Source organism: Homo sapiens, chromosome 19, assembly GCF_000001405.40.
Source record: "Homo sapiens chromosome 19, GRCh38.p14 Primary Assembly".
Lineage (NCBI taxonomy): Eukaryota > Metazoa > Chordata > Mammalia > Primates > Hominidae > Homo > Homo sapiens.
The window spans coordinates 35,368,974-35,395,516 of NC_000019.10; the positions used below are offsets into that span (position 1 = coordinate 35,368,974).

Consider the following 26,543-nt stretch of genomic DNA (forward strand, 5'->3'; position numbering starts at 1 on the left):
CCTTTAAAAAGCCCTTGACCAGATGGATTCACAGCCAAACTCTACCAGACCTGCAAAGAAGAGATGGTACCAATCCTACTGAAACTTTACCAGAAAATTGAGGAGGAGAGATTCCCTACTCATTCTACAAAAACAGTCTGATTCTGATATCGTAATCTGGCAGGACACAGTGAAAAAAGAAAACTGTAGGCCAATAGCCCGATGAACATAGATCCAAAAATCCTCAATAAAATACTAGCAAACCAAATCCAGCAGCATGACAAAATCATAATTCAGCATGATCAAGTGGGCTTTATTCCTGGGATGCAAAGATGTTTCAATATATGCAAATCAATAAATGTGACTCACCACATAAAATTAAAAACAAAAATTATATGATCATCTCAATAGATGCAGAAAAAAACATATAATAAAATCCAACATCCCTTCATGATAAAAACCCTCAAAAAACTAAACATCGAAGGAACACACCTCAAAATAATAAGAGCCATCCAGGACAAACTCACAGCCAACATCATACTGAATGGGCAAACGTTGGAAGCATTCCCCCTAAGAAATGGAAAAAGACAGGGATGCCTACTCCCACTACTCCTATTCAACATAGTAGTGGAAGTCCTAGCCAGAGCAATCAGGCAAGAAAAAGGAATAAAAGGCATCCAAATAGAAAGGGGAAGTCAAATTATCTCTGTTCACTGATGATATGATTCTATACCTAGAAAACCCTACAGATTCCTCCAAAATACTCCTAGACCTGATAAATGACTGGCAGTTTCAGGATGCAAAATCAGTGTATAAAAATCAGTAGCATTACTATATACCAACAATTGTCAAGCTGTGAGCCAAATAAAGAACAGAATCCCAATTACAATAGCCACACACAAAAATAAAATACCTAGGAATACATCTAACCAAGGAAGTGAAAGTGAAAGATCTCTACAAGGAGAACTAAAAAACACAAATAAATGAAAAACATTCCATGTTCATGGATTAGAAGAATCAATATCATTAAAATGTCCATACTGCTCAAAGCAATCTACAGATTCCACCCAATTCCTACCAAATTATCAATGTCATTTTTCATAAAATGGAATCATTCTACCAAAAAGACACCTGCATGTGTATGTTTGTCACAGCACTATTCACAATGGCAAAGTGATGGAATCAACTTAGGTGCCCATCAATGGTGGACTAGATAAAGAAAAAATGGTACATACACATCACGAAATACTATGCAGCTATAAAAAAGAATGAAATCATGTCCTTTGCTGCAACATAAATGCAGCTGGAGGCCTAAGTGAATGATCCTAAGTGAATTAACACAGAAACAGAAAATCAAATGCTGTATGTTCTCACTTTTAAGTGGGAGGTAAACAATGGGTACACGCAAACATTAAAGATGGAAACCATAGACAGTGGGGACTCCAAAGTGGGGGAGGGAGGGCGGAGGACAAGGGTGGGAAAACTGCCTATTGGGTACTATGTTCACAATTTTGGTAATGGGTTCAATAGAAGCCCAAACCTCAGTATTATGCAATATACCCATGTAACAAACCTGCACATGTGCTCCCGAATCTAAAATAAATATTTTCAAAAAGCAATTGACCTATATTATTAACATTTTAATCTACCTGTATATATGTTTTAATCTGCATGTGTTCATGCTTTGAAATATGGTACAGGTACTATGACAATCCCTGTTCTGTAGGGGAGGAAGAAGAGACACATCTCTTCCCCCACATCACAAAGTCAGGAAGGAACAGACCTCACGGAGTCCAGTCTGTCACTGGCTCATGCTTTGTGCCCTTAAAAGGCAAACTGGATAAGTGCCATTCTAGAGAATCAGACAAAATTCAAGTGGAAGAGAGGGGAGGGGAAGAAGACGTCAGCTGGGGCCTGTTTGGAGCATCCCAGCTGAGGCTGCGCAAGGAGGGAGGCACGCAGTTGTGGAATTTGTTCCCCTTTTTGCATACTGACCAGCCCTGGCAACGGAGCTCAAGGCATCTTTGTGCCACTGCTCAACAGTGAGTGATGTCATGGGCACGGCCAGGTCTTTATCAGTTCTGCCGGATAAATAGCCAACTGCACTAGGTCTGGAGAGACAGCAAGGTGCTGTGCGGCAGAGCATTTGGGGTCTCAAAGAAGCAGGTGAGCCTGGGCCCGAGGGGCTGGGTGGAGGAGCACCTTGGTGCTTCTCTGCTGGGGAAGGGACAGGGGACAGGGCATGCTCAGGAAGACAGGCAGGCTGACCCCGCCTGGAAGGCACCCAGAGACAAGAGGGGTGGGCGTAGTGACCTCGTGCCCTTTTAGGGGAGATGCTGCTGGCCAGAGGCCGTTAGGGCCCCCACTACCAACTCCATGTTACTCTCTCTCACCAGTGGCCACCACCATGGATACAGGCCCCGACCAGTCCTACTTCTCCGGCAATCACTGGTTCGTCTTCTCGGTGTACCTTCTCACTTTCCTGGTGGGGCTCCCCCTCAACCTGCTGGCCCTGGTGGTCTTCGTGGGCAAGCTGCGGTGCCGCCCGGTGGCCGTGGACGTGCTCCTGCTCAACCTGACCGCCTCGGACCTGCTCCTGCTGCTGTTCCTGCCTTTCCGCATGGTGGAGGCAGCCAATGGCATGCACTGGCCCCTGCCCTTCATCCTCTGCCCACTCTCTGGATTCATCTTCTTCACCACCATCTATCTCACCGCCCTCTTCCTGGCAGCTGTGAGCATTGAACGCTTCCTGAGTGTGGCCCACCCACTGTGGTACAAGACCCGGCCGAGGCTGGGGCAGGCAGGTCTGGTGAGTGTGGCCTGCTGGCTGTTGGCCTCTGCTCACTGCAGCGTGGTCTACGTCATAGAATTCTCAGGGGACATCTCCCACAGCCAGGGCACCAATGGGACCTGCTACCTGGAGTTCTGGAAGGACCAGCTAGCCATCCTCCTGCCCGTGCGGCTGGAGATGGCTGTGGTCCTCTTTGTGGTCCCGCTGATCATCACCAGCTACTGCTACAGCCGCCTGGTGTGGATCCTCGGCAGAGGGGGCAGCCACCGCCGGCAGAGGAGGGTGGCGGGGCTGGTGGCGGCCACGCTGCTCAACTTCCTTGTCTGCTTTGGGCCCTACAACGTGTCCCATGTCGTGGGCTATATCTGCGGTGAAAGCCCGGTGTGGAGGATCTACGTGACGCTTCTCAGCACCCTGAACTCCTGTGTCGACCCCTTTGTCTACTACTTCTCCTCCTCCGGGTTCCAAGCCGACTTTCATGAGCTGCTGAGGAGGTTGTGTGGGCTCTGGGGCCAGTGGCAGCAGGAGAGCAGCATGGAGCTGAAGGAGCAGAAGGGAGGGGAGGAGCAGAGAGCGGACCGACCAGCTGAAAGAAAGACCAGTGAACACTCACAGGGCTGTGGAACTGGTGGCCAGGTGGCCTGTGCTGAAAACTAGGTCCTCCGGGGGAGGAGGGTGTAGCTGGCGTGTCATCCTCAGGGCGCTTCCTCGCTCACGCCAGGAGGGACTTGGAGTGGCGAGCTGGGGCCCGATGGGGCTTGGGGGCAGAGTAGACATCTAGCCTCCCTAAGGGTATGCGCGCTAAAGCCCAGCTCTCGATCTCACCTCCATCCCCATCCACCCACACACTATGGATTGGGCTCTGGGAAGGGGTCAGGGTGAGAGGCTGCTCTGGAGAACAATGAGGTCCTCATAGCAGCAGGCAGCTCCTGTGTTTTCTTGAGGGTGGCAGAGGAGCTAAGAGCAGTGCCCAGGTCTGAGGGGGCTGCCCAGTGAGTGGCAGGGGCAGGAGAGGGGAGAACCCCATCCTCAGAGCTGCTCCCAGCCAGCGAGTCAGGAGCGGGGGAGACAGGGCTCCAGGGATGAGGCCGCATTCTGCTCCCACAGTGCCTTTTCCAGAAAGTTCCCATTGCTCAATAAATGTGGATCATCAGAGACATTTATGAACAATGACAGAAGAAAAATTACCCAAATAAATGTGGAAGCAAGCAAAAGAGAACAGTGTTTCCTTCTTCTCCTGTTTTGTTCTGGTGGTGTGCTTGGGCCGGGTGGGACTGGTGGATGGAAGGAGAAAACACCAGACTCTGGAGGAAAAGGGCCAAACACCAGGATGCCTGGATGCTGGGAGAGGATCTGGCTTGCAGGGATGAAAATAACAGCTGCCCTGTCTAAAGGACTTGGCCTGACACATCATCTCCTTCTATCTCTCAATAGCCCTGTGAGAGGTACCAGCATTATCCCCAGTTTCAGATGAAGGAGTGGCCCAGAGAGGTGACATCTCCTACCCGAGATCCCATAGCTGGTGGGCGATTGAAGTGGGACCAGAAGCTGGTGTCAGTTGACTCTGACACCCATGCCCCTAAGCCACTCTGCTGTTCTCCATCTGTGTGTCACCTGTGGTCACCTGGCCCAGTCAGATGAGGCTGTCTGAGCAGGACAAATGCAAACAGGCTGTGATAAGGAACAGAAGTAAATGCAAAGCACAGTGAGTATCTGTGTGAGTGCATCCTCTCCCCAGTAAAGAAGACTTCTTGAAAAGTATAGATTACGATACTTGGAGTCAATGATTGGGCAGGTGACTCACAGTGGGCACCCGATGCTCCTCGATCTTAGCTAATGCAGGATCTCTTCAACTTTTTACATCCTTGTCCCCTTCAGAAGCCTCTTTGGATATACATCTTTCCTACACAGCACATTCCTCTGCCTGCTTATGCAATTTCAGTGCAACCAACACACTGTCGGTTTATGTGTTGTGGCCCTTTACAAAGACAGAAACTGGCTGGGCGCAGTGGCTCATGCCTATAATCCCAGCACTTTGGGATGCCGAGGCAAGAGAATCACTTGAGGTCAGGAGTTTGAGACCAGCCTGGCCAACATGGTGAAACTTTGTCTCTACTAAAAGTACAAATATTAGCCGCATATGGCAGCATGCACCTGTAAACCCAGCTTCTTGGGAGGCTGAGGCAGGACAATCACTTGAGGCCAGGAGGCAGAGGTTGCAGTGAGCCGAGATTACACCACTGCACTCCAGCCTGGGTGACAGAGTGAGACTCTGTCTCAAAAAACAGAAGGAAGGAAGGAAGGAAGGAAGGAAGGAAGGAAGGAAGGAAGGAAGGAAGGAAGGAAGGAAGGAAAAGAAAGAAGGAAGGAAAGAGAGAAAGAAAGAAAGAGAGAAAGAAGGAAAGAAAGAGAGAGAGAGAAAGAAAGAAAGAAGGAAGGAAAGAAAGAAAGAGAGAAAGAAAGAGAGAAAGAAGGAAAGAGAGAGAGAGAGAAAGAAAGAAGGAAGGAAAGAAAGAAAGAAGGAAAGAGAGAGAAAGAAAGAAAGAGAGAAAGAAGGAAAGAAAGAGAGAGAAAGAAAGAAAGAAAGAAAAGAAGGAAAAGAAAGCCACAAACCATTGTGAGATTTTTTGTTGTTGTTGTTCCCCAAGAACTAGTTTTCACCTATTTGGGATCAACATTGCTGCTGCTGAGAATGTCTGAGCTGCAGAAATGGTCCCATCTAATATACTGATAGAGCCTGTCTCACAGAACTGTAGCCCAACAAAATTAGGCTGAGGACCTTGCTGCAGGAATGGAGATCACACTACGGAAGAAGTGTGAGGTCTCGTACAAGAGAAGAGACCCAGTTATCATCGAATTTGAGCTAAGAGTAGCGTGAATTTAGATGAAGAGGTGTGTGATAGGCTCAACACAAAGCAGGGATGTGTGGAAAGAGGCCAGTGTTAGATGGAGGCCAGGAAGATTACTCAAGGTCCTGTTTCTCTGGAAAATACCAAGCAAAGATAAAGGTAGAACTTCGTATTGGAAAACTCCTTATCTGAAGCTCTGGTGGGTTGAAAATCAAGGTTGCATCTCTGTGTCAGAGACTCTGATCCTCTAAGCAGAAGTATATGTTCCTTTCTTACTCATGATCTCATGCAGCTAAGTTTCTGACTATCTTTGACTTTTGAGAACAAGGTTTCTTAGCAATATCCTTTTGTTAATTAGCAAAACAAGTTTTTAAAGGTTTACAAGAGAAACTTTTTTAGAAGGAGAGATCCTCCTTCACCGAAACCAAGGGCAGGTCAACCCAGAAGGACAAGAGGAAGGGAAGATTCAACCCATCTCGGCTACAGCTTCCTGAGGCCATAGGTCAAGTCTCAGCTTACAGGGGAGTGAGAGGAAACAAGAAATTTTAAATCACCCAGTGTTGGTTGGGTGCGATGACTCACGCCTGTAATCTCAGTGCCTTGAGAGGCTGAAGTGGGAGGACTGCTTGAAGCAAGACTCCGTAATCTAAGAAAAAAAGTTAGTCGGGCATAGTGGCATGTGCCCATAGTCCCAGCTGCTCATGAGGCTGAGGCAGGAAGATCGCTTGAACCCAGGAGGTCGAGGCTACAGTGAGCCGTGATTGTACCACTGCACTCCAGCCTGGGTAACAGAGCAAGACCCTGAAAAAAAAAAAAAAAGGAAAGAAGAAAGGAAGAAAGAAAGAGAGAAAGAAAGAAAAGGAAAGAAGGAAAGAAAGAAAGAAAGAAAGAAAGAAAGAAAGAAAGAAAGAAAGAAAGAAAGAGAAAGAAAGAAAGAGGAAAGAAAGGAAAGGAAAGGAAGAAAAGAAAAGAAAAGAAATGAGTAAATCACCAAGAGTGCGGGAAGATCGCTTGAGCCCAGGAGGAGGTCGAGGCTACAGTGAGCCGTGATTGTACCACTGCACTCCAGCCTGGGTAACAGAGCAAGACCCTGAAAGAAAAAAAAGAAAAAGGAAAGAGAGGAAAGAAAAAAGAAAGAAAGGAAGGAAGGAAGGAAGGGAAAGAGAGAGAAAGAAAGAGAGAAAGAAAGGAAAAGAAAAGAAAGAAATGTATAAATCACCAAGCGTGACCAGAAACCTTTGGAAGCCACCTAAGAAACTGACAAAGATGGTTCAATCCATCCCATGGAAGGCAGTGAGACCATTGCAGGCTTGAGCCCAGTACGCTCAGACTACTCAGTAAACCAGTGGCAGTGGCAGACAGGAGAGAGAGCAGGAATTCCCCACTGGGAGACAGGATGCCAGTGCCTTTTTATGAGTTAAACATGTATCCACTAGAGAGTGCAGTAAGTGGCCTCTCAGGCTGTGCATATGCCTGGTGGGGCATGGGAAGCTGTGCTGCAAGACAGGATCCGTCAGCCGGCTTCAACTGGGTTCAGCTGGGAGGGGGCAGACATAGACCTGGTCAGGGCCGGCGGAGGTGGAAGGGAGGTAGGAGGCTGGACTTGACTTTGGAGGTGGGGCTCAGACACTGGACCAAATTGAGGACTAGCTAAAACAGGGAAACAAGGACGGAGCTTAAGCGACTTCCCATAGGACATGCCCACCAGTGTCCCCTGTCAGTTTACCATGGTCATAGCAACAGCTGGTAATTACCACCCTTTTTCTAAAACTTTGGGCATTAACCGCCCCTTAATCTGCATGTAATGAAAAATAGATATAAATATGAATGCAAAACTGCCCTAAGCGGCTACTCTTAGCACATTGCTATGGGGTAGCCCTGCTCTGCAGGGGCAGTCACAGAGCTGTTGCACTGCCAGAACTATACCACCATCACTTTAATAAAACCACTTTCTTCTACCACTGGCTAGCCTTTAAATTCTTTCCTGGGTGAGCTGGGTGCAGTGGCTCACACCTGTAATCCCAGCACTTTGGGAGGCTGAGGCAGGCAGATCATTTGTGATCAGGAGTTCGAGACCAGCCTGGGCAACTTGGTGAAACCCAGTCCCTACTAAAAAATACAAAATTTAGCCAGGCGTAGTGGCCCGCACGTGTAATCCCAGCTACTCAGGAGGCTGAGGCAGGATAATTGCTTGAACCCAGGAGGCGGAGGTTGTAGTGAGCTAAAATTACACCACTGCGCTCCAGTCTGGGTGACAGAGTGACACACCATCTCAAAAAAAAAATAAAAATTTAAAAATTAAATAAATAAATTCTGGGTTCTGGGCAAAGCCAAGAACCTTCCCAGGCTAAACCCCTATTTAGGGCTCATCTGCCCTACATCAGAAGGGAAACAAAGACCAGACAAGGAGAGCAAGAAGCCTGGGAGTCTACAAAATAAGTTGCGGGACTCTTCCAAAAAAATGAAGCTGAGCATCGATAAAAGCTCAAAGACACCTGGAAGAAAAGTGAGACCACCGTTTCTGGGAATTACAAGTAGGAGACAGAGGTTTTTATTGGGGGAGAATAGTGTGAGAAGGTGCTCAACTTTTGACCTTCCTCTCTGAGGACATGACTCTTCTGGTTTAGAAAACAACAGTAAAAAGTCCCCAAGAGATACTGGTGGTTGTGGTTCCCAAAACTTCATTAACATCTGTGGGAAGCCTTCTGACTTTCCTCTGAGGCCAGTTCTGAAAAGCCATTCATATGGAGGCAAATCAAAATATCAAAGCAGCAGCCTGTGTTCTGGGAAAATGTTGCTGGGATCACATTCCAGAGAAAAGATGGGATAGAAGGAATGAAAGCTGATCAACATGGCTGGGTGCGGTGGCTCACACCTGTAATCCCAGCACTTTGGGAGGCTGAGGCAGGCAGATCACCTGAGGTCAGAAGCTCAAGACCAGCCTGGCCAGCATGGTGAAACCCCGTCTCTACTAAAAATACAAAAATTAGCCGGGCATGGTGGCGTGTGCCTGTAATCCCAGCTACTCAGGAGGCTGAGGCAGGAGAATCGCTTGAACCTGGTAAGCAGAGGTTGTGAGGTTGCAAAGTTACAGTGAGCTGAGATTGCAGCACTGCTCTCCAGCCTGGGCAACAAGAGAGAAAACTCCATCTCAAAAAAAAAAAAAAAAAAAAAAGAAGAAGAAGAAGAAGAAAGCTGATCAACACTGGTAGAAGTGGGGAAGGGCAGAGCTCACCTCCCATGGGAGCCAGGGTGGAGCTAGCAGAGAGAAAATGTTGTGAAAGAGGAAATGGGATACGGAAATATTTTTTGAGGAGAGGGTGCTTTTAATGGATTTAGAAGAATATAGTGGCTGGATATGGTGGCTCATGCCCATAATGCCAGCACTTTGGGAGTCTGAGGCAGGTGGATAGCTTGAGCCCAGGAGTTCCAGACCAGCCTGGGCAACATGGCTAAACCCTGTCTCTACTAAAAATACAAAAATTAGAGGAGTATGTTGGTGCATACCTGTAGTCCCAGCTACTTGGGGGGCTGAGGTAGGAGGATCACCTGAACTTTGGGAGGTCGAGGCTGCAGTGAGCCATGATCAGGCCACTGCACTCCAGCCTGAGTGATAAAGTGAGACACTTTCTCAAAGAAAATTAAAATTAAAATTAAAATTAAAAGAAGAGTATAGTGAGATAACCCAATCAATCATCCCCTGTTGCAGATCCCCCAGTCTCAAGGGTCAAATTGTGATTGGCACTAATCATGATGCTGTTGACCGCCTTTACTGGTGACTGGTCCTAAGATGGAAGTGTGACCCAATTCCAGCCAACAAAGGGAAATAAGTCTGCTGGGGGCCTCTGGGAAAGATTTTTCTCTATCTCATTAAAAAAATAGATGTGTAAGGAGCTGCGCTCCTACTTCTAATCTGGAACTTTCTATGGAAGGATGTGATACTTGGAGCTACAGCAGCCATATTGGGGCCATGAGGTTACAAACTTGAGGAAGAAAGCAAACAAGCTAAGGACAGCAGAGCAGCAGGATGTAAAGGGCCTGCGTCCTTGACCCTGTTGAGGTGGGACCACCAACCTCCAAAGTCACTGTAGTAAATGTTCCTTTTGTTGACTCACTATTGGCCAGATACCCTCTAACTTGCAGCTTAACATAATAGATCAGCTTATATCCTACTAGAACCTACCCATTGACATCTTCTCTCACGTTAAAATATTTTAGGTTCCTGGAGTTTCTAAACTCTGCCTATTTGCCTTATAGGAGCTATGTGATGTTAGCATTTGCCTTATTTGTTACAGCTGAACTCAGGAGATGTCTTACAGTTCTAGACACTAGCTCTAGCACCAAGATGTCTGGACTCTCCTCATTCAGAAGAAGGCTTTTGAGAGCTGACTGGCTGGGGCTGCATGAACATTGCTTTCCAAGACAAAAAAACACACGTGCTAGATGGGACCTTTTTAAGGTAAAATGTTCATCTGACTGACAATCTTAATTGCAAGCCTGCACTTTTATTAATAAAAATTCTCATACTTGAGCAGATCACCTGAGGTCAGGAGATCGAGACCAGCCTAGCCAACATGGCAAAAACCTGTCTCTACTAAAAATACAAAAATTAGCTGGGTGTGGTGGCACAGGCCTGTAATCCCAGCTACTTGGGAGGCTGAGGCAGGAGAATTGCTTGAACCCAAGAGATGGAGGTTGCAGTGAGCCAAGATCATGCCACTGCCTTCCAGCCTGGGCAACAGAGTGAGACTATTTCAAAAAAAAAAAAATTCTCATACTTACTAAGGGCTCTTGGATGCCATGGAAACAAGAGAGGGCTGAAAGACCTCTCTTTCTTGATGTGGACCATGAGCGATGTTATCCTGTGGAAAAGTACTTGTCTCTGTTCAGTGTTCTTGGGCACAGGACAGCTACCCAGTCCTTGTGCCTGTGGAGTCACTCAAACACACACAATGCCCACATGAAGATGGGGATATGCGGTCTTGGATGCCTAATTTACTACTTAAAATTAACACACACAATTAGATGATTCCCTTTTCCCTCCCCTCCCCTTTTTTTTTTTTTTTTGTTTCTTTTTTTTTTTTTCTGTGACAGGGTCTGGCTCTGTCACCCAGGCTGGAGTGCAGTTACGCAATCATGGCTGACTGCAGCCTCAACTTCTCAGGCTCAAGCAATCCTCCCGCCTCAGCCTCCCAAGTAGCTGAGACTATAGGTGCATGCCACCATGCCTGGCTAATTAAAAAAAAAAAAAAACTGTAGAGATGGGGTCTCGCTATGTGGCCCAGACTGGTCTGGAACTCCTGGGCTCAAGCGATCCTCCCACCTTGGCCTCCCAAAGTGCTGGCATGACAGGGATGAGCCAGTGCACCTAGCCTTGATAATTTCCAGTGGTTCTCTATGCTTAGAGCATTACTCTCATCTTTTTTTTAAACAGTCTAGAATGCTCTCTTAAAGCCTCCATAAAAATAACTCCTTGTTTGTGTATCCTTTGGTGAACAATCCAATGACTTGCAGGAGCACTTCCAGGCATCCCCAGCCGTTGCAGGCCTGCAGACTTCTTCCCTGGCCCACACTTGCTGGTCTGTTTGTTCACTCTGCAGTGAACCCTTCTGCTTACAGCTTTTCCAGCTAACCTTTTGACTCACAATGTAGCCTCTGACAAAAAGCAGACCAGTAGTTACCAGGGGCTGGGGATGGGAGAGAGGAGGGTGTTGACTGGGAAGATAACAGAGGGACATTTTCAGGTGATGGAAATGTTAGATCACTTGATTGCAGTGAGGGTCACACAAGAAGTCAAAACTTATTGAACTCTCTCCGTCCAGTGGGTGCATTTCATGGTGTGTCAATGAAGCCTCAATAATGTTGTTTTTAAAAAATGGTGTCACCTCACCTCCTGGCTTGTAGTGTTTGTGTACCTAATATCAATCTTGCTAAGTTTCCTCCAGCCAAGCAAGTCTCTGCTTTTGCTGGGCTGCTCTGCAGAGGCTGTGACTGCTGGATGATAACCCAGGTTACATAAAAGTGTAGAAACCATGTGCAAACAAATGATACGTGGCAACCAGCTTTTATCTTGGTGCTGGAGATCTGCAGGGCGTGGTGGAAAGGGCGGCAACTGGACAGTGCAATGGTTCATTTCACCTCCTGTCACCACATGGGGCTGTGGGGGCAGCTCTGTCATACCTTCCAATTTTCCAAGCTGAAAATCCAATTGTCATTGCTGTTTTTGAAATCTTACATTTTTAAAAAACTGATAACAAATTCAAAATGTTTAAGTATCTATGTGGGGAAAGTGAATCAGGCCTGAGGGTTGTGGACTGCTTTCTAGGTTTCCAGCCTGTGACCTCTGCAGCAGTGGAGGCAGAGGAGGGCTCAGAGGTCGGGAGGGAAGGGGAAGGAGCATGAAGAAGTGTGATTCTGCACGTAAGCACGGCCCATACTTTTACTCAGAACCCAAGACAGGCAGTTGACAAGAACGTCGGAAGATGTTCTTCCTCATCCCTCGTTCTTATTTTGCAGTCCCTCCCTGCCCCTACAGCTGTTCTCTGAAAGCTGTCACCCTCATCCACAAAAAGATCTTGGAGGCCACAGGCAAGGCAGGGAGGGAAGCTCCGAGGACTGATGCTGGCTCTCCTTCCTTCTCCTCCCAACTCCCCCTCCCAACTGGCACTGAAGGCAGGTGTTCCTCAGGCTCGGACCCTGCCTGCCTTTGTTCGTTTTCTCTCTCCTGTCTGCAGGCATTCTGATCCATCACAATGGCTGTTAACATTCATGACTCCCACATCTCCAGCACCAGACCCTTGTGTATCCAACTGTATAGAGAGACATCTCAACTTCTAGACTTTCAAGACCAAACCTAACTCCTTACTTCGTCTTCCTAATCTGGCCCCACCACCCAGCCTACTCCACCTCTATAAATGGCAATACCACCCACGGTCTGCCCACATCAGAAACCCAGATGTCATTCATTAATTCATTCATTCATTCCTTTTTTTTTTTTAAACAGAGTCACTCTGTCACCCAGGCTGGAGGGCAGTGGCACAATCTCAGCTCACTGCAACCTCCACCTCCTGTGTTCAAGCGATTTTCCTGCCTCAGCCTCCTGAGTAGCTGTGATTACAGGCATGCACCACTATGCCTGGCTAACTTTTGTATTTTTACTAGAGATGGGGCTTCGCCATGTTGTCCAGGCTGGTCTTGAACTCCTGGGCTAAAGCAATCTGCCAGCCTCAGCCTCCCAAATTGCTGGGATTACAGGCATGAGCCACCATGCCCAGCCCATTCTTTCTTTTTTTAGAGATTTGATTCTTTTTTTAATTTTTAAAATGATCATACAATAAAATGAATGTTTTCAGGAAAAGGTGTACAGTTCTGTGAATCAAACAGACAGAGAGATTCCCGTAACCACCAACAAAATCAAGATAAAGAGCAACGATAGTCACATCTTCCCTTCACCCCTAGCCACTACGAAACACAGATCTGCTATCATTAGGGTTTTATCTTCTCAAGAATGTCACATAGCTTTTCGCAACAGGTTTGCAACAGAACACAGGTGTCATGGAAACTACCCCTAAAAGCCAAAATGGGAAAGGAGAAGACTCATATCAACATTGTCGTCAATGGACACATAGATTCGGGCAAGTCCACCTCTACTGGCCATCTGATCTACAAATGTGGTGGCATCAACAAAAGAAGCATTAAGAAATTTGAGAAGAAGGCTGCTGAGATGGGAAAGGGCTCCTTCAAGTAAGCCTGGGTCTTGGATAAACTGAAAGCTGAGCGTGAATGTGGTATCACCATTGATACCTCCTTGTGGAAATTTGAGACCAGCAAGTACTGAATGACTATCATTAATGCCCCTAAGGAATGAGACCACCACTTCTCCTGTTGTCCTTCCCAGCTTCTACCCAACCTTCCCTTTTCCCTAGTTTATAAGACAGGAGAAAAGGGAGAAAGCAAAAAGTTGGAAAGAAACAAAAGTAAGATAAATAGCTAGACGACTTTGGTGCCACCACCTGGCCCTGGTGGTTAAAATAATAATAATAATATTAACCCCTGACCAAAACTACTGGTGTTATCTGTAAATTCCAGACATTGTATGAGAAAGCACTGTAAAACTTTTTGTTCTGTTAGCTGATGTATGTAGCCCCCAGTCACGTTCCTCATGCTTACTTGATCTATTATGACCCTTTCACATGGACCCCTTAGAGTTGTAAGCCCTTAAAAGGGCTAGGAATTTCTTTTTTGGGGAGTTTGGCTCTTAAGACGCGAGTCTGCCGACGCTCCCGGCCGAATAAAAACTTCTTCCTTCTTTAATCCGGTGTCTGAGGAGTTTTGTCTGTGACTCGTCCTGGTATATCCCAGGACACAGAGACTTCATCACAAACATCTTTACAGGGACATCTCAGGCTGACTGTGCTGTCCTGGTTGTTGCTGCTGGTGTTGGTGAATTTGAAGCTGGTATCTCCAAGAACTGGCAGACCTGAGAGCATGCCCTTCTGGCTTACACATTGGGTGTGAAATAACTAATCACTGGTGTTAACAAAATGGATTTTATTGAGCCACCCTACAACCAGAAGAGATATGAGGAAATCATTAAGGAAGTCAGCACTATATTAAGAAAATTGGCTACAACCCTGACACAGTAGCATTTGTGCCAATTTCTGGTTGGAATAGTGACAACATGCTGGAGCCAAGTGCTAACATGCCTTGGTTCAAGGGATGGAAAGTCACCCGTAAGGATGGCAATGCCAGTGGAACCATACTGCTTGAGGCTCTGGACTGCATCCTACCACCAACTCGTCCAACTGACAAGCCCTGCTTCTCCAGGATGTCTACAAAATTGGTGGTATTGGTACTGTTCCTGATGGCCAAGTGGAGACTGTTGCTCTCAAACCTGGTGTGGTGATCACCTTTGCTCCAGTCAACACTACAACTGAAGTAAAATCTGTCAAAATGCACCATGAAGCTTTGAGTGAAGCTTTTTCTGGGGACAATGTGGGCTTCCATGTCAAGAATGTGTCTGTCAAGGATATTCATTGTAGTAACAATGCTGGTAACTGCAAAAATGACCCACCAATGGAAGCAGCTGGATTCACTGCTCAGGTGATCTATCCTGAACCATCCAGGCCAAGTCAGTGCTGGCTATGCCCCTGTACTAGATTGCCACATGGCTCACATTGCATGCAAGTTTGCTGAGCTGAAGGAAAAGATTGATCGCTCTTCTGGTAAAAAGCTGGAAGACGGCCCTAAATTCTTGAAATCTGGTGATGTTGCCATCATTGATATGGTTCCTGGTAAGCCCATGTGTGTTGAGAGCTTCTCAGACTATCCACCTCTGGGTTGCTTTGCTGCTTGTGATATGAGACAGACAGTTGCACTGGGTGTCATCAAAGCAGCGGACAAGAAGGCAGCTGGAGCTGGCAAGGTCACCAAGTATCCCCAGAAAGCTCAGAAGGCTAAATGAATATTATCCCTAATACCTGCCACCCTGGTATTAAGCAGTGGTGGAAGAATGGTCTTAGAACTGTTTGTTTCAGTTGGCTATTTAAGTTTAGTAGTAAAAGACTGGTTAATGATAACAATGCATAGTAAAACTTTCAGAAGGAAAGGAGAATGTTTTGTGGACCACTTTGGTTTTCTCTTTTGCATGTGGCAGTTTTAATTTATTAGTGTTTAAAATCAGTGCTTTTTAATGGAAGCAACTTGACCAAAAATTTGTCACAGAATTTTGAGACCCATTAAAAAAGTTTAATGAGAAAAAAAAAAAAAGAAAGTCACATAAACAGAATCCTACAGTGTGTAACCTTTTGAGCTGGCTTCTTTTTATTTATTTTATTTATTTATTTATTTTTTTGAGACAGAATCTCACTGCAATGCCCAGGCTGGAGTGCAATGGTGCAATCTCAGCTCACTGCAACCTCTGCCTCCCAGGTTCAAGCAATTCTTCTGCCTCAGCCTCCCGAGTAACTGGAATTATAGGCATGCGCCATCATGCCTGGCTAATTTTTGTATTTTTAGTAGAGACAGGGTTTCACCATGTTGGCCAGGCTGGTCTCAAACTCCTGACCTCAGGTGATATGCCCACCTCAGCCTCCCAAAGTGCTGGGATTACAGGCATGAGCCACCGCACCCGGCTAGCTGACTTCTTTCATTCAGCACAATGTAACTGAGCTTCATCCATGTCACCATGCCTGGCTAATTTTTAAATTTTTTGTAGAGACAGGATGTCACTATGTTGCAGAGGCTGATCTCAAACTCTTAGGCTCAACTGATCCTCCCATCTCAGCCTCCAAAAGTACTGTAATTACAAGCATGAGCCACCACACTCGACCTCCTATTTACTTCACCTTGGAAGCTACAGTGTTACCCAGAGCCTATAAACAAACAAACAAAAACACCATGGATATTTTGTTCCTGGTACACAAATTAATGTCTTTAAATCCACCAACACCACTATACATTCTATGCAATTAAAAAATTAACTTGAGGCCGGGTGTAGTGGCTCACACTTGTAATCCCAGCACTTTGGGAGGCTGAGGAGGGCAGATCACTTGAGGCCAGGAGTTTGAGACCAGCCTGGCCAACATGGCAAAACCCCATCTCTACTAAAAATATAAAAATTAGCTGGGCATGGTGGTGTGCACCTATAATCCCAGCTACTCTGGAGGCTGAGGCAGGAGAATCACTTGAACCCAGGAGGCAGAGGTAGCAGTGAGCCAAGATCATGCCACTGCACTCCAGCCTGGGTGACAGAGTGAAACTGTGTCTCTAAAAAACAAAAAGAAAAAGAAATTCACCTAAGGCACATGACCAGTAAGTCCCTTAGTGCTAGTACCGTCTATGCAAAATAGCAAATACAGAGTGAAACAAACCAATGCAAGCATTTATGTGAAATTGGGCTGCATGCGAAATCTGGCTTCATGCTTAACTACATTAAAAACAATTGCCAAACTGTCAATGTATTTCTTCACAATATTTCTTATTTTAACTTCATCACAACTAAGAGCTTTAACTATGAACAATGTTAACTAGTCAAATTTCTGTAATTTTCCACCATGTTTTAAATAATATTTTATTTTTATTTTATTTTATTTTTTTGAGACAGAGTCTTGCTCTATCATCCAGGCTGGAGTGCAGCAGCATGATCTTGGCTCACTGCAACCTCTGCCTCCCAGGTTCAAGCGATTCTCCTGCCTCAGCCTCCCTCAAGTAGCTGGGACTACAGGTGCCCACCATCACGCCCTGCTAATTTTTGTATTTTTAGTAGAGATGGGTTTTTACCATGTTGGCCAGGCTGGCCTTGAACTCCTGACCTCAGGTGATCCCCTTGCCTCAGCCTCCCAAATTGCTGGGATTACAGGCCTGAGCCACTGCGTCCAGTCAAAAATATCTTATTAACTAAACTTTTTCAACTTCCTGTTTTTTCTGTATGTTCATGAACACAGACACTTAGAGAAACAGAAAAAAATAAAAAACTGTGTATGACTTACATAGACCATCTATGACATGCTTGGACTTCCTGTTGTGTCCTAATTTTATTTATTTATTTATTTATTTATTTATTTATTTATTTATTTATTTTTTGAGACAGAGTCTTGCTCTGTTGCCCAGGCTGGAATGCAGTGGCATGATCTTGGCTCACTGCAATCTCTGCCTCCCGGATTCAAGCAATTCTCCTGCCTCAGCCTCCCAAAGAGCTGACATTGCAGGTGTGTGCCACTTCGCCCAGCTAATTTTTGTATTTTTAGTAGAGACGGGGTTTCACCATGTTGGCCAGGCTGGTCTCGAACTCCTGACCTCAGGTGATCTGCCTGCCTTAGCCTCCCAAAGTGCTGGAATTACAGGCATGAGCCACTGGGCCCCACCTGTCCTAAATTTTTTATATTTTAAATAACCCCTCATTTTACTTTAGGACAGAAATTTACAATGCAAGATCCTTTCTCCTACAAAAGTATTTTCTTTATAACCTTCCTTACCAAAAACACATCTTTATATCCATAACTGTCTTCACATCTCTCTCCCCTTTGCTTTCTACCTTGTTTCATAAATAACTTTCCCAAGCCCATAATGTGAATCAACCTCTAGATAACTTCTGAATTAGACAAAATTTTTCTTATTCTCAATAAGAACGCATCTTCTTTGGCACATTTTACATACAGAATTATATGTTAACTAGAATTCTTATTCTTAGTAATCTTAAATTTTAGTGAAAACCTAGGAAGCAAGAAATCCTGAACTGCCAAACAGATGTTAGCATTGGCAAGACAATTCTACAATTTTTAAAAACATGTTTGCCTACATCATAACCCTTTCTGAATTGGAAATGTCCCAGACATCCAATAAACACCCAATATAATTTCAAGATTTTAAATTACATGAAAAATTTCCCTACTGCATTTATCCCATTTACATTTCATTCATTTTTAGCAATTTATCCTACTAATGAAAATTGGGATATTAAACAAAGCTAGTCATTATTTCTTCATTAACCATTTTTATAACCTGTGAATATCAGGTGTTCACCTAAGTAAGAAATTTCGAGTTAAACACATGGGTATTTTCACCCGTAACTCAGAAGATTCCTCTGCCTTTTTTAAACTAACAACATTAAATTAGTCTTACCTATCAAAAAATCACACAAAGATCATTTTGTTCTTGGCTAGATTTACAATCTTATAATCTTTTGTGCCAAACTCTGACACCTTAAAATATCTAGCAGAGACAAAGATAAAACCCAGACAAAAATGTATGCTGACAATTCAGAAGACATTTCTATTTTTATTTTACCGATTATCTTAAAGCCAGCTTATTTATTAAACATTTACCTAAGTCACGTAAACTTGAAAAATGCTTGGACCCATACACTTAATTTATGAGTGCTCCTTTATTTACTGGCCAATTTTGGTACCCTGCAAAAACAACATATAACATCCAGGAACATATGTACTTGAAAAGATCCAATAGCTTTTCCTAGGGATTCTTGCTGTGAGATAGCAATACAAATTCACCAGTTTATAAACATACTCACACAGGTAAACTTTGTTTTCCCTGATAGGTAATTCAATGAAGGCTATGAACCAAAATTTTGAGTAAAGCACTTTCTATGATAGTTTTATTTTTATTTTATTTTTATTTTTTGAGACAGGGTCTTGCTCTGCTGCCCAGGCTGGAGTGCAGTAGTGCAATCACAGCCACAGCCCACTGCAGCCCTGACCTCCCAAGCTCAAGCTATCCTCCCACCTCAGCCTCCTGTATATCTGGGACTACAAGCGCATGCCACCTTGCCCAGCTAATATTTTAATTTTTTTTGTACAGAAAGGATCTTCCTATGTCGTCTAGCCTGGCTGCAAACTCCTAAGCTCAAGTTATCCTCCTGCTTTGGCCTCTCAAAACGCTGAGATTATAGGCATGAACCACTGTGCATGACCTATAGTTTTATTTTTATTTATTTATTTATTGAGATGGAGTCTCACTTTGTTGCCCAGGCTGAAGTGCAGTGGCATGATCTCGGCTCACTGAAACCTCCACCTCCCAGATTCAAACAATTCTCATGCGTTAGCCTCCCAAGTAGCTGGGATTACAGGCGCCTGCCACCACATCCAGCTAATTTTTGTATTTGTAATAGAGACAGGGTTTCACCATGTTGGCCAGGCTGGTCTCAAATTCCTGACCTCAAGTGATCTGCCCACCTCAGCCTCCCAGAGTGCTGGGATTACAGGCATGAGCCACCACGCCCAGCCTATAGTTTGATTTTTAAAGGCCCAACCTCCCCAGACTCCAAAGAACACTGAGGCCAAACAGTACCACAGAAGAACATCATGTACTAATAAGGCCTTGAAACCACCTTTGCAAAGATGATGACAGTGAGAGAAGTCTAGCATGACTGACTCCGTCTTGCTTCTAGCCTTACAGGCTGGCTGTCCTCATTATTCCTGGGCATAAGCCAAGCTAACCATTGGAGGAATTTATAGTTTAACTTTGAAGCAAGGATGATAACAATCTTTCCCTAAAACTATACCCTCCTTGCTCAGTGACTGAAGCCACATTTATAAAACTAATGAAAGGCCACAACATTAGGATTATGGGAGGGGCCTGGATTCTGTTAAAATGTAGGCATAGTTTCAATAATCTCTTACTGCTCAGGAGTTTGTGGCCAGAGATCACAAGATTCGTGACTTCCCCGATTGCTCCTATAGACAACATTGCTATTGTAGAACGTGATCGGTCTTTTGAGATGTTTTTCAGACTTTGGCACTCTGGCAACCAACTGACCCCACCTGAACCCATGACTCATGACTCAACTGGTCCTGTGGATCCCACCCAGAGGCAGACTCAGTGCACAAGAACAATTTTCTACACCCTTACAGTTTTATCCCCAGCTAATCAGCAGCACCCATCTCCTAGACCTCTGCCACCAAATAATCCATAAAAACCCTAGCTTCTGAATCCTCAGGGAGACTGATTTGAGTGATAACTCCAGTCTTTCTGTTTGGCTAGCTCTGTGTTAATTAAATTCTTTCTCTACTGCAGTATCATGGTCTCAGTGAATTGTTTTTTTCTGTGCAGTGGGCAAGAAAAATCCTTCAGGCAATTATAGCCCAACCTGGCTTTGAACAGCAACATAAAAACCTGGATACATGGAACTCCATCCCACTTTCCCATTCAACAGCAAAATGAGACCCATGGAGGGGCCAGAGCGTTGCAAAAGAATATCCATTGATCAAATTCTCGTTTCTCACAACTATATTGACACACACACACATAAACAAACAATTATCAAAAGCAATTCAACTGCTACAGCAACAAACAAGCCCCAAGTGTGTCCATACTAAAACAGCTGGGGTGCCTTCCTCTCTCAGTTGGTTTTTAAAGGCCAAACCAAACCTTTGGTGGGCAGAAGCCTAGGGAGTGGGTTCTGCTAATTGGTTGGGGGTAAAACTGTAGGGGTGTGGAAAATGGTCCTCGTGCACTGAGTCTGCCTCTGGGTGGGAACCACAGAACCAGTTGAGTCATGAGTCATGGGTTCGGGTGGGGTCAGTGCGTTATCAGAGTGCAAAAGTTGATCTTGTTCCATCTGCAAACAGAAATATCTTCTGAGTTTCCCAAATCAAGAGAAGCCCTCTGGTACCCACCAGAAATCACTCACATGTCCAGACGCAGTTGTGCACACACACAATTACTAATGTCAACAAAAAGAGTCAAACTCTGTAAAATATTTGAAGAGATTTATTCTGAGCCAAATATGAGTGACCATGGCCCATGACACAGTCCCCAGGAGGTCCTGAGAACATGTGCCCAAGGTCGTTGGGGTGCAGCTTGGTTTTATACATTTTAAGGAGGCATGAGACATCAATCAAATACATTTAAGATATACATTTGTTTGGCCCAGAAAGGCGATACAACTCAAAGCAGGGTGGGGCTTCCAGGCTATAGGTAAATTTAAACATCTTCTGGTTGACAATTGGTTGAGTTTGTCTAAAGACCTGGGATCATAGAAAGGAAATGTTCAGGTTAAAAGATTGTGGAGACCAAGGTTCTTTTGAAGTCTTACAGTGGCTGCCCTTAGAAACAATAGTTGACAAATGTTTCCTATTCAGACCTTTAAAAGGTGCTAGACTCTTAGTTAATCTCTTCAGGATTGGGAGGGCCTGAAAGAAAAAGATCTAGCTATGTTAATAGAGATTCTTTACAGATGCACATTTCCCCCCCACAAAGGACAACTTTGCAGGGCCATTTCAAAATATGGCAAAGAAACATGTTTTGGGGTAAAATATTATGACTTTCTTCTTTGTCGTGTAATGTTATACCAGAGTAAGATTGGAAAGTAAGTCACAATATGTAAGTTAAATAAAACCCATCTGGGCTGGGCATGGTGGCTCACGCTTGTAATCCCTGCACTTTTGGAGGCTGAGGCAGGCAGATCACCTGAGGTCAGGAGTTCGAGAACAGCCTGGCCATTATGGTGAAACCCCATCTCTACGAAAAATACAAAAATTGGCAGGGCGTAGTGGCAGGCACCTGTAATTCCAGCTACTCGTGAGGCTGAGGCAGGAGAATTGCTTGAACCCAGGAGGCAGAGGTTGCAGTGAGCTGAGATCGCACCATTGCACTCCAGCCTGGGCAACAGAGTAAGACTGTCTCAACAACAACAACAAAAATCTGATGAGAATTTATGGTTTGTAGAGCATGACTTCTCTAGACCCCTTAGATAGGAATTTGGGCAAGATTTTAAAAATCAGAGCTTAGTTCTCACTAACAAGCCCCAAGAGTGTCCAAACTGAAACAGTCATGGTGCTTTCCTCCCTCCATCATTTGGGCTTATTCAACCTGCAAATGGAAATTCCTTAGAAAATTCCCAAATTGAGAGGAGCCCTTCCTGCTGTCTGGAACCCAGAAAAGACACTCATCCATCCAGACACAGATATCAAATTTCAAAGTCTGTTCTTCCTAGGCAATCAGCAATACATTTGGGGCTGGCAGCAGCAGAGCCAAAGAGAAAAAGATGGAAACCCACCTCCAGCCAAAAAAAGGTCAGACAGCTGTACAGGGGGCTTCTGAAAGTCCCAGTCTGCAGCAGCTGAGCCACAAGCAATGTGTTCCCAGGTAGGGAACCAAAATCTGTTACTGAAATGCCAGGGCTCCAGTCTAGGTCCCGTTGCTCACTGCACAGAAAGCCAATCACCAAGACAATGAGTACTGCCTGGGAAGAAGGCTTTAATTGAGTGCTTTAGCCAAGGAAAATGGGGATCAGTCTCAAATCCATCTCCCTAGTCAACTAAAATCAGGGGGTTATACAGCAGGGAAGAAATGTAACTACATGTGGGAAAACCAGAGTTAGGGAGAGGTAAGGAAGAGGAGTTGGTCAAAGGAATTAGGGAGGGATAAGGAAATCAGGAGGGATGAGGGGTCTGGCATCTCATTGTCTGGATGCAGTGATCTGGTGAGTTTCAATTCGTTGATTTCCTGTGGCAAGAACTCAGATAAGACAAATGCAGGCTTCAAACTTTAAGACCAGGAGGGGGCCAGGCACAGTGGCTCATGCCTGTAATCCCAGCACTTTGGGAGCCCGAGGTGGGTGGATCACGAGGTCAGGAGATCAAGGCCATCCTGGCTAACACAGTGAAACCCTGTCTCTACTAAAAATACAAAAAATTAGCCGGGTTTGGTGGCATGTGCCTGTAGTCCCAGCTACTCAGGAGACTGAGGCAGGAGAATTGCTTGAACCTGGGAAGCAGAGGTTGTAGTGAGCCAAGATCGCACCACTGCACTCCAGCCTGGGCAACAGAGAAAGACTCCATCTAAAAAAAAAAAAAAAAAAAAAAAAAGAAGGGTGAATTTCTACGTTGATCCAAAAGAAGCATCTATGGGACAATCAGGCCAGTTTCATGAGGAATATAAATTGGATCCTGTCATTGCCCTGAATAAAACTTTTCAATGGCTTTCCATTCTGGCCTCCTCCTCACAGCCTTTGAGGCCCTGCCTCTCTCTCCAAGCTTCTCTGGGGCCATCCCCAGAGAAGTGTCACTGACATCGCTCTTCTGGCCTGGACTTCTCTCTGTCCCTTGAGCAGGCCAAGCTCTGAATGTCTGCATGCACCATGCCTTCCACTCTTTACCTGGCTAGTTCCCCACTTCTTCCAAGTTTCTGTCCAATGTCACGCCTTAGAGAGGCTTTCCCTGATCATCCAATATCAAGTAGCCCCCTTCTGATATTATCTCACACTGCGCTCTCATGGTTTGATGTTTGTATGTGTGTGTTCATTTGTTTAACGTGACTCCTACTAGACTGAGAAGCCCATGACAGCAGTCACCACGTCAGTTTTCTTTGTCACTATATACCCAGTGGGTGCCTAAAACCGTGCCTAGCACAGACTGGGCATTTGATGGTGAATAAATGAATGAATGATTTTTTAAAAATATCTCTAATTTTCTACTATTATAAATAATGCTATGAGAACATCCTTTTACATAAAGGCACGTGCACTGTGCATTTCCTACAAGTCGTACTGTTGAATTAAATGATATGTACATGTAAAGCTTTGATAAATATCGATGAATTACCTTCCCCGGCTGAGTCAACCCTTTCTTCCCCAACAGTCTGTAAGAGACCCCATAACTCTGCTGACAAGAGAAAATATTGTATTTTAATTTTTTGAGATGATATTTAGAATTTAGAAACTTAAGTATTAGTCTGGGATTTCCAGAGAAACAGAACCAATAGAGTGTGTGTATGTGTGTCTGTGGGTGTGTCTGTGTGTCTGTGTCTCTGTGCATGTGTCTGTGTGTGTATGTGTGTCTCTGCGGTGTGTGTGTGTCTGTGTGTGTGTCTGTGTATGTATCTGTGTGTGTGTCTCTGTGCATGTCTGTGTGTGTCTCTGTGTGTGTGTACCTCTGTGTGTCTCTGTATGTTTTTGTATGTGTGTCTCTGTCTGTGTCTCTATGTGTGTCTCTGTGTGCATGTCTGTGTGTGTGTTTCTCTCTGTGTGTGTTTTTGTGTGTGTCTGTATATGTGTCTCCATGTGTGTGTCTGTATGTCTCTGTGTGCGTCTGTGTGCATGTATGTTTGTGGCTCTGTGTGTTAATGTGTGTCTCTGTGTATGTGTTTCTGTGTGCATGTTTGTATGTGTTTCTGTGTGTCTCTGTGTGTTTTTGTGGGTCTGTGTGTCTCTCTGTGTGTGTGTATATCTCTCTGTGTCTGTGTGTGTCTCTGTGTTTCTGTGTGCATGTCTGTGTGTGTGTCCATGTGTGTGTCTGTGTGTTACTGTGTGTCTCCGTGTGTGTGTCTGTGTGTTTCTGTGTGTGTGTTTGTGTGTGTGTGTGTGTGTGTCTGCATGTCTGCATGTGTGTATAAAGAGATTTATTTAAGGAATTGGCTCATGTGATTGTGAATGCTTGATGAGCCCAAAATCTGACGGAGGAAGCTGGCTGACTCGAGGCTCAGGAAGAAGTTGTGGTTGAGTCTAAAGAGAGCCTGCTGGTGAGCCAGGAAGACCCACTGCTGCAGACAAAGTCTGAATCCAGCATGCAGGAGAATTCTCTTTTGCATGTGGAGGTCAGCCTTTTGTGCTGTTCAGGCCTTCAGTGACTGGAGGAGTCCCCCACATTTTGGAGGGCAATCTGCTTTGCTCAGAGTCCACCAATGTAAATGTCAATCTCATCCAAAAACACCCTCACAGCAACACCCAGAATAACGTTTCACCAAATATCTGGGCACTGTGGCGTGGCCAAGCCAACACATAAAATTAACCGTCATACTCTGTATTATTTTCATATTAATCTCCCAGATTAAAAATGAGATAGACAATATTTACATATTGTGTAGAGTCATTTGTGTTTCTCCCAATACTTGCTTTGTTCTTATTTGACTTACAGGAGTTCTTTGAATATTGGCTTACAAACCTCATATCAGGTGTATAAGTAGAAGGATAGTGGCCTTTTACTTTGTTGATTGTAATGTTTTTCATAGGTTATCTCTTTTTATGTGCTCAAATTTCTCATCATTTTTTGATGACTTCTACATTATGTCATACTGGGAAAAAGCCTCCTTATTTATAAGACTTTTAAAATTACACAATACCTACACAACATTTATTATTTTTAAAAACATTTTTGATCTTGAATGCACCTGCCTTTTATTCTTGTTACCTGGCTGTAATTCTTCCCAGTGGATAGGCAGCTATCCCAACATAATTTACTGAATAGTCCATCCTTTCCTACAGTGGTTTGAAATGAACCTGGATCACTTAAGTAGGAAGAATCCTCTAAATGTAATCTAAAACAACAAGATTTCATCATTTTTACCCATCCTTACCCATAATGAGGAAAAACATTAAAGATTCAAACATCCAGTGTTGGAGAAGGTGCAGGGGAAGGGATTCTGCCATGTACAGCTGGTGGAAATGTAAATTACCAAACACTATCAGGAAGGTAATATGCAAATATCTATCAACAATTTCAAGGCATACCTCTTTGAACTAGCAATTACATAAATTATAGATCTAAAGATTCATCTAACCAAAATACTCACACCTGTTCAGATAGCTAGCTAGCTAGCTAGATAGAAAGATGATAGATAGATAGATAGATAGGTAATAGATAAATTTGCAGAGGCACTGTTTGTTATACCAAGAGAACTGTAAACTATGTAAATTAATCCTAAATGGTTACATAAATTATAAGACAGTCCTAAAATGAAATACCATGTAGCCATTAGAAAGACTCTAGATTGGTATAGGCTGCCATGAAAAGATCACTAAAGCATATTGTAAGGTGAAAAATAAAATTTCAAAAAAAATATGGAGTATGATTCCATTTATGCTTTTTCTTTTCTTTTTTTGAGATGGAGTCTTGCTCTGTCACCCAGGCTGGAGTGCAGTGGTGCCATCTCGGCCCACTGCAACCTCCGCCTCCTGGGTTCAAGTGATTCTCCTGCCTCAGCCTCACGAGTAGCTGGGACTACAGACGCCTGCCACCATGCCTGGCTTATTTTTGTATTTTTAGTAGAGACAGGGTTTCACCATCTTGGCCAGGCTGGTCTCGAACTCCTGACCTCAGGTGATCCGCCTGCCTCAGCCTCCCAGAGTGCTGGGATTACAGGCGCGAGTCACCGGGCCCAGCCCCAGTTATGCTTTTTTTTTTTTTGAAACGGAGTCTCACTCTGTCGCCCAGGCGGGAGTGCAATGGCGCGATCTCGGCTTACTACAACCTCTGCCTCCTGGGTTCAAGCAATTCTCCTGCCTCAGACTCCCGAGTAGCTGGGATTATGGGTGCACACCACCACACTGGCTAATTTTTTGTATTTTTAGTAGAGACGGGGTTTCACTATATTGCCCAGGCTGGTCTCGAACTCCTGGGCTCAAGTGATCTGCCTGCCTTGGCCTCCCAAAGTGCTAGGATTACAAGTGTGAGGCACTACACCCGGCCCCG

At 44.8% G+C, this 26,543-nt stretch overlaps 1 protein-coding gene and 1 pseudogene across 1 annotated transcript, besides 2 other annotated features; both read left to right on the top strand.

Annotated features, from left to right (window-relative positions):
• Window positions 1–2,094: 2,094 nt before the first annotated feature.
• On the top strand, window positions 2,095–3,989 carry GPR42 (G protein-coupled receptor 42). The gene is made up of 2 exons (NM_001348195.2): window positions 2,095–2,145; window positions 2,376–3,989. The coding sequence occupies exon 2, from the start codon at window positions 2,387–2,389 to the stop codon at window positions 3,425–3,427; it is 1,041 nt and encodes a 346-aa protein (NP_001335124.1). The 5' UTR covers window positions 2,095–2,145; window positions 2,376–2,386; the 3' UTR covers window positions 3,428–3,989.
• Window positions 11,339–11,968: a transcriptional cis regulatory region, noted in NCBI's record as "candidate enhancer chr19.3689 targeted for multiplex CRISPR interference". NCBI's record gives its function as "positively regulates DMKN gene expression with high confidence in K562 cells {active_cell/tissue: K562}" and the evidence as "EXISTENCE:mutant phenotype evidence [ECO:0000015][PMID:30612741]".
• EEF1A1P7 (eukaryotic translation elongation factor 1 alpha 1 pseudogene 7) lies at window positions 13,139–15,280 on the top strand (annotated as a pseudogene).
• Window positions 13,764–13,933: an enhancer, noted in NCBI's record as "experimental_51280 CRE fragment used in MPRA reporter constructs". NCBI's record gives its function as "activates a minimal promoter by MPRAs in K562 erythroleukemia cells, with activity observed for both the introgressed and non-introgressed 19:35873724 variant alleles {active_cell/tissue: K562}" and the evidence as "EXISTENCE:reporter gene assay evidence [ECO:0000049][PMID:34662402]".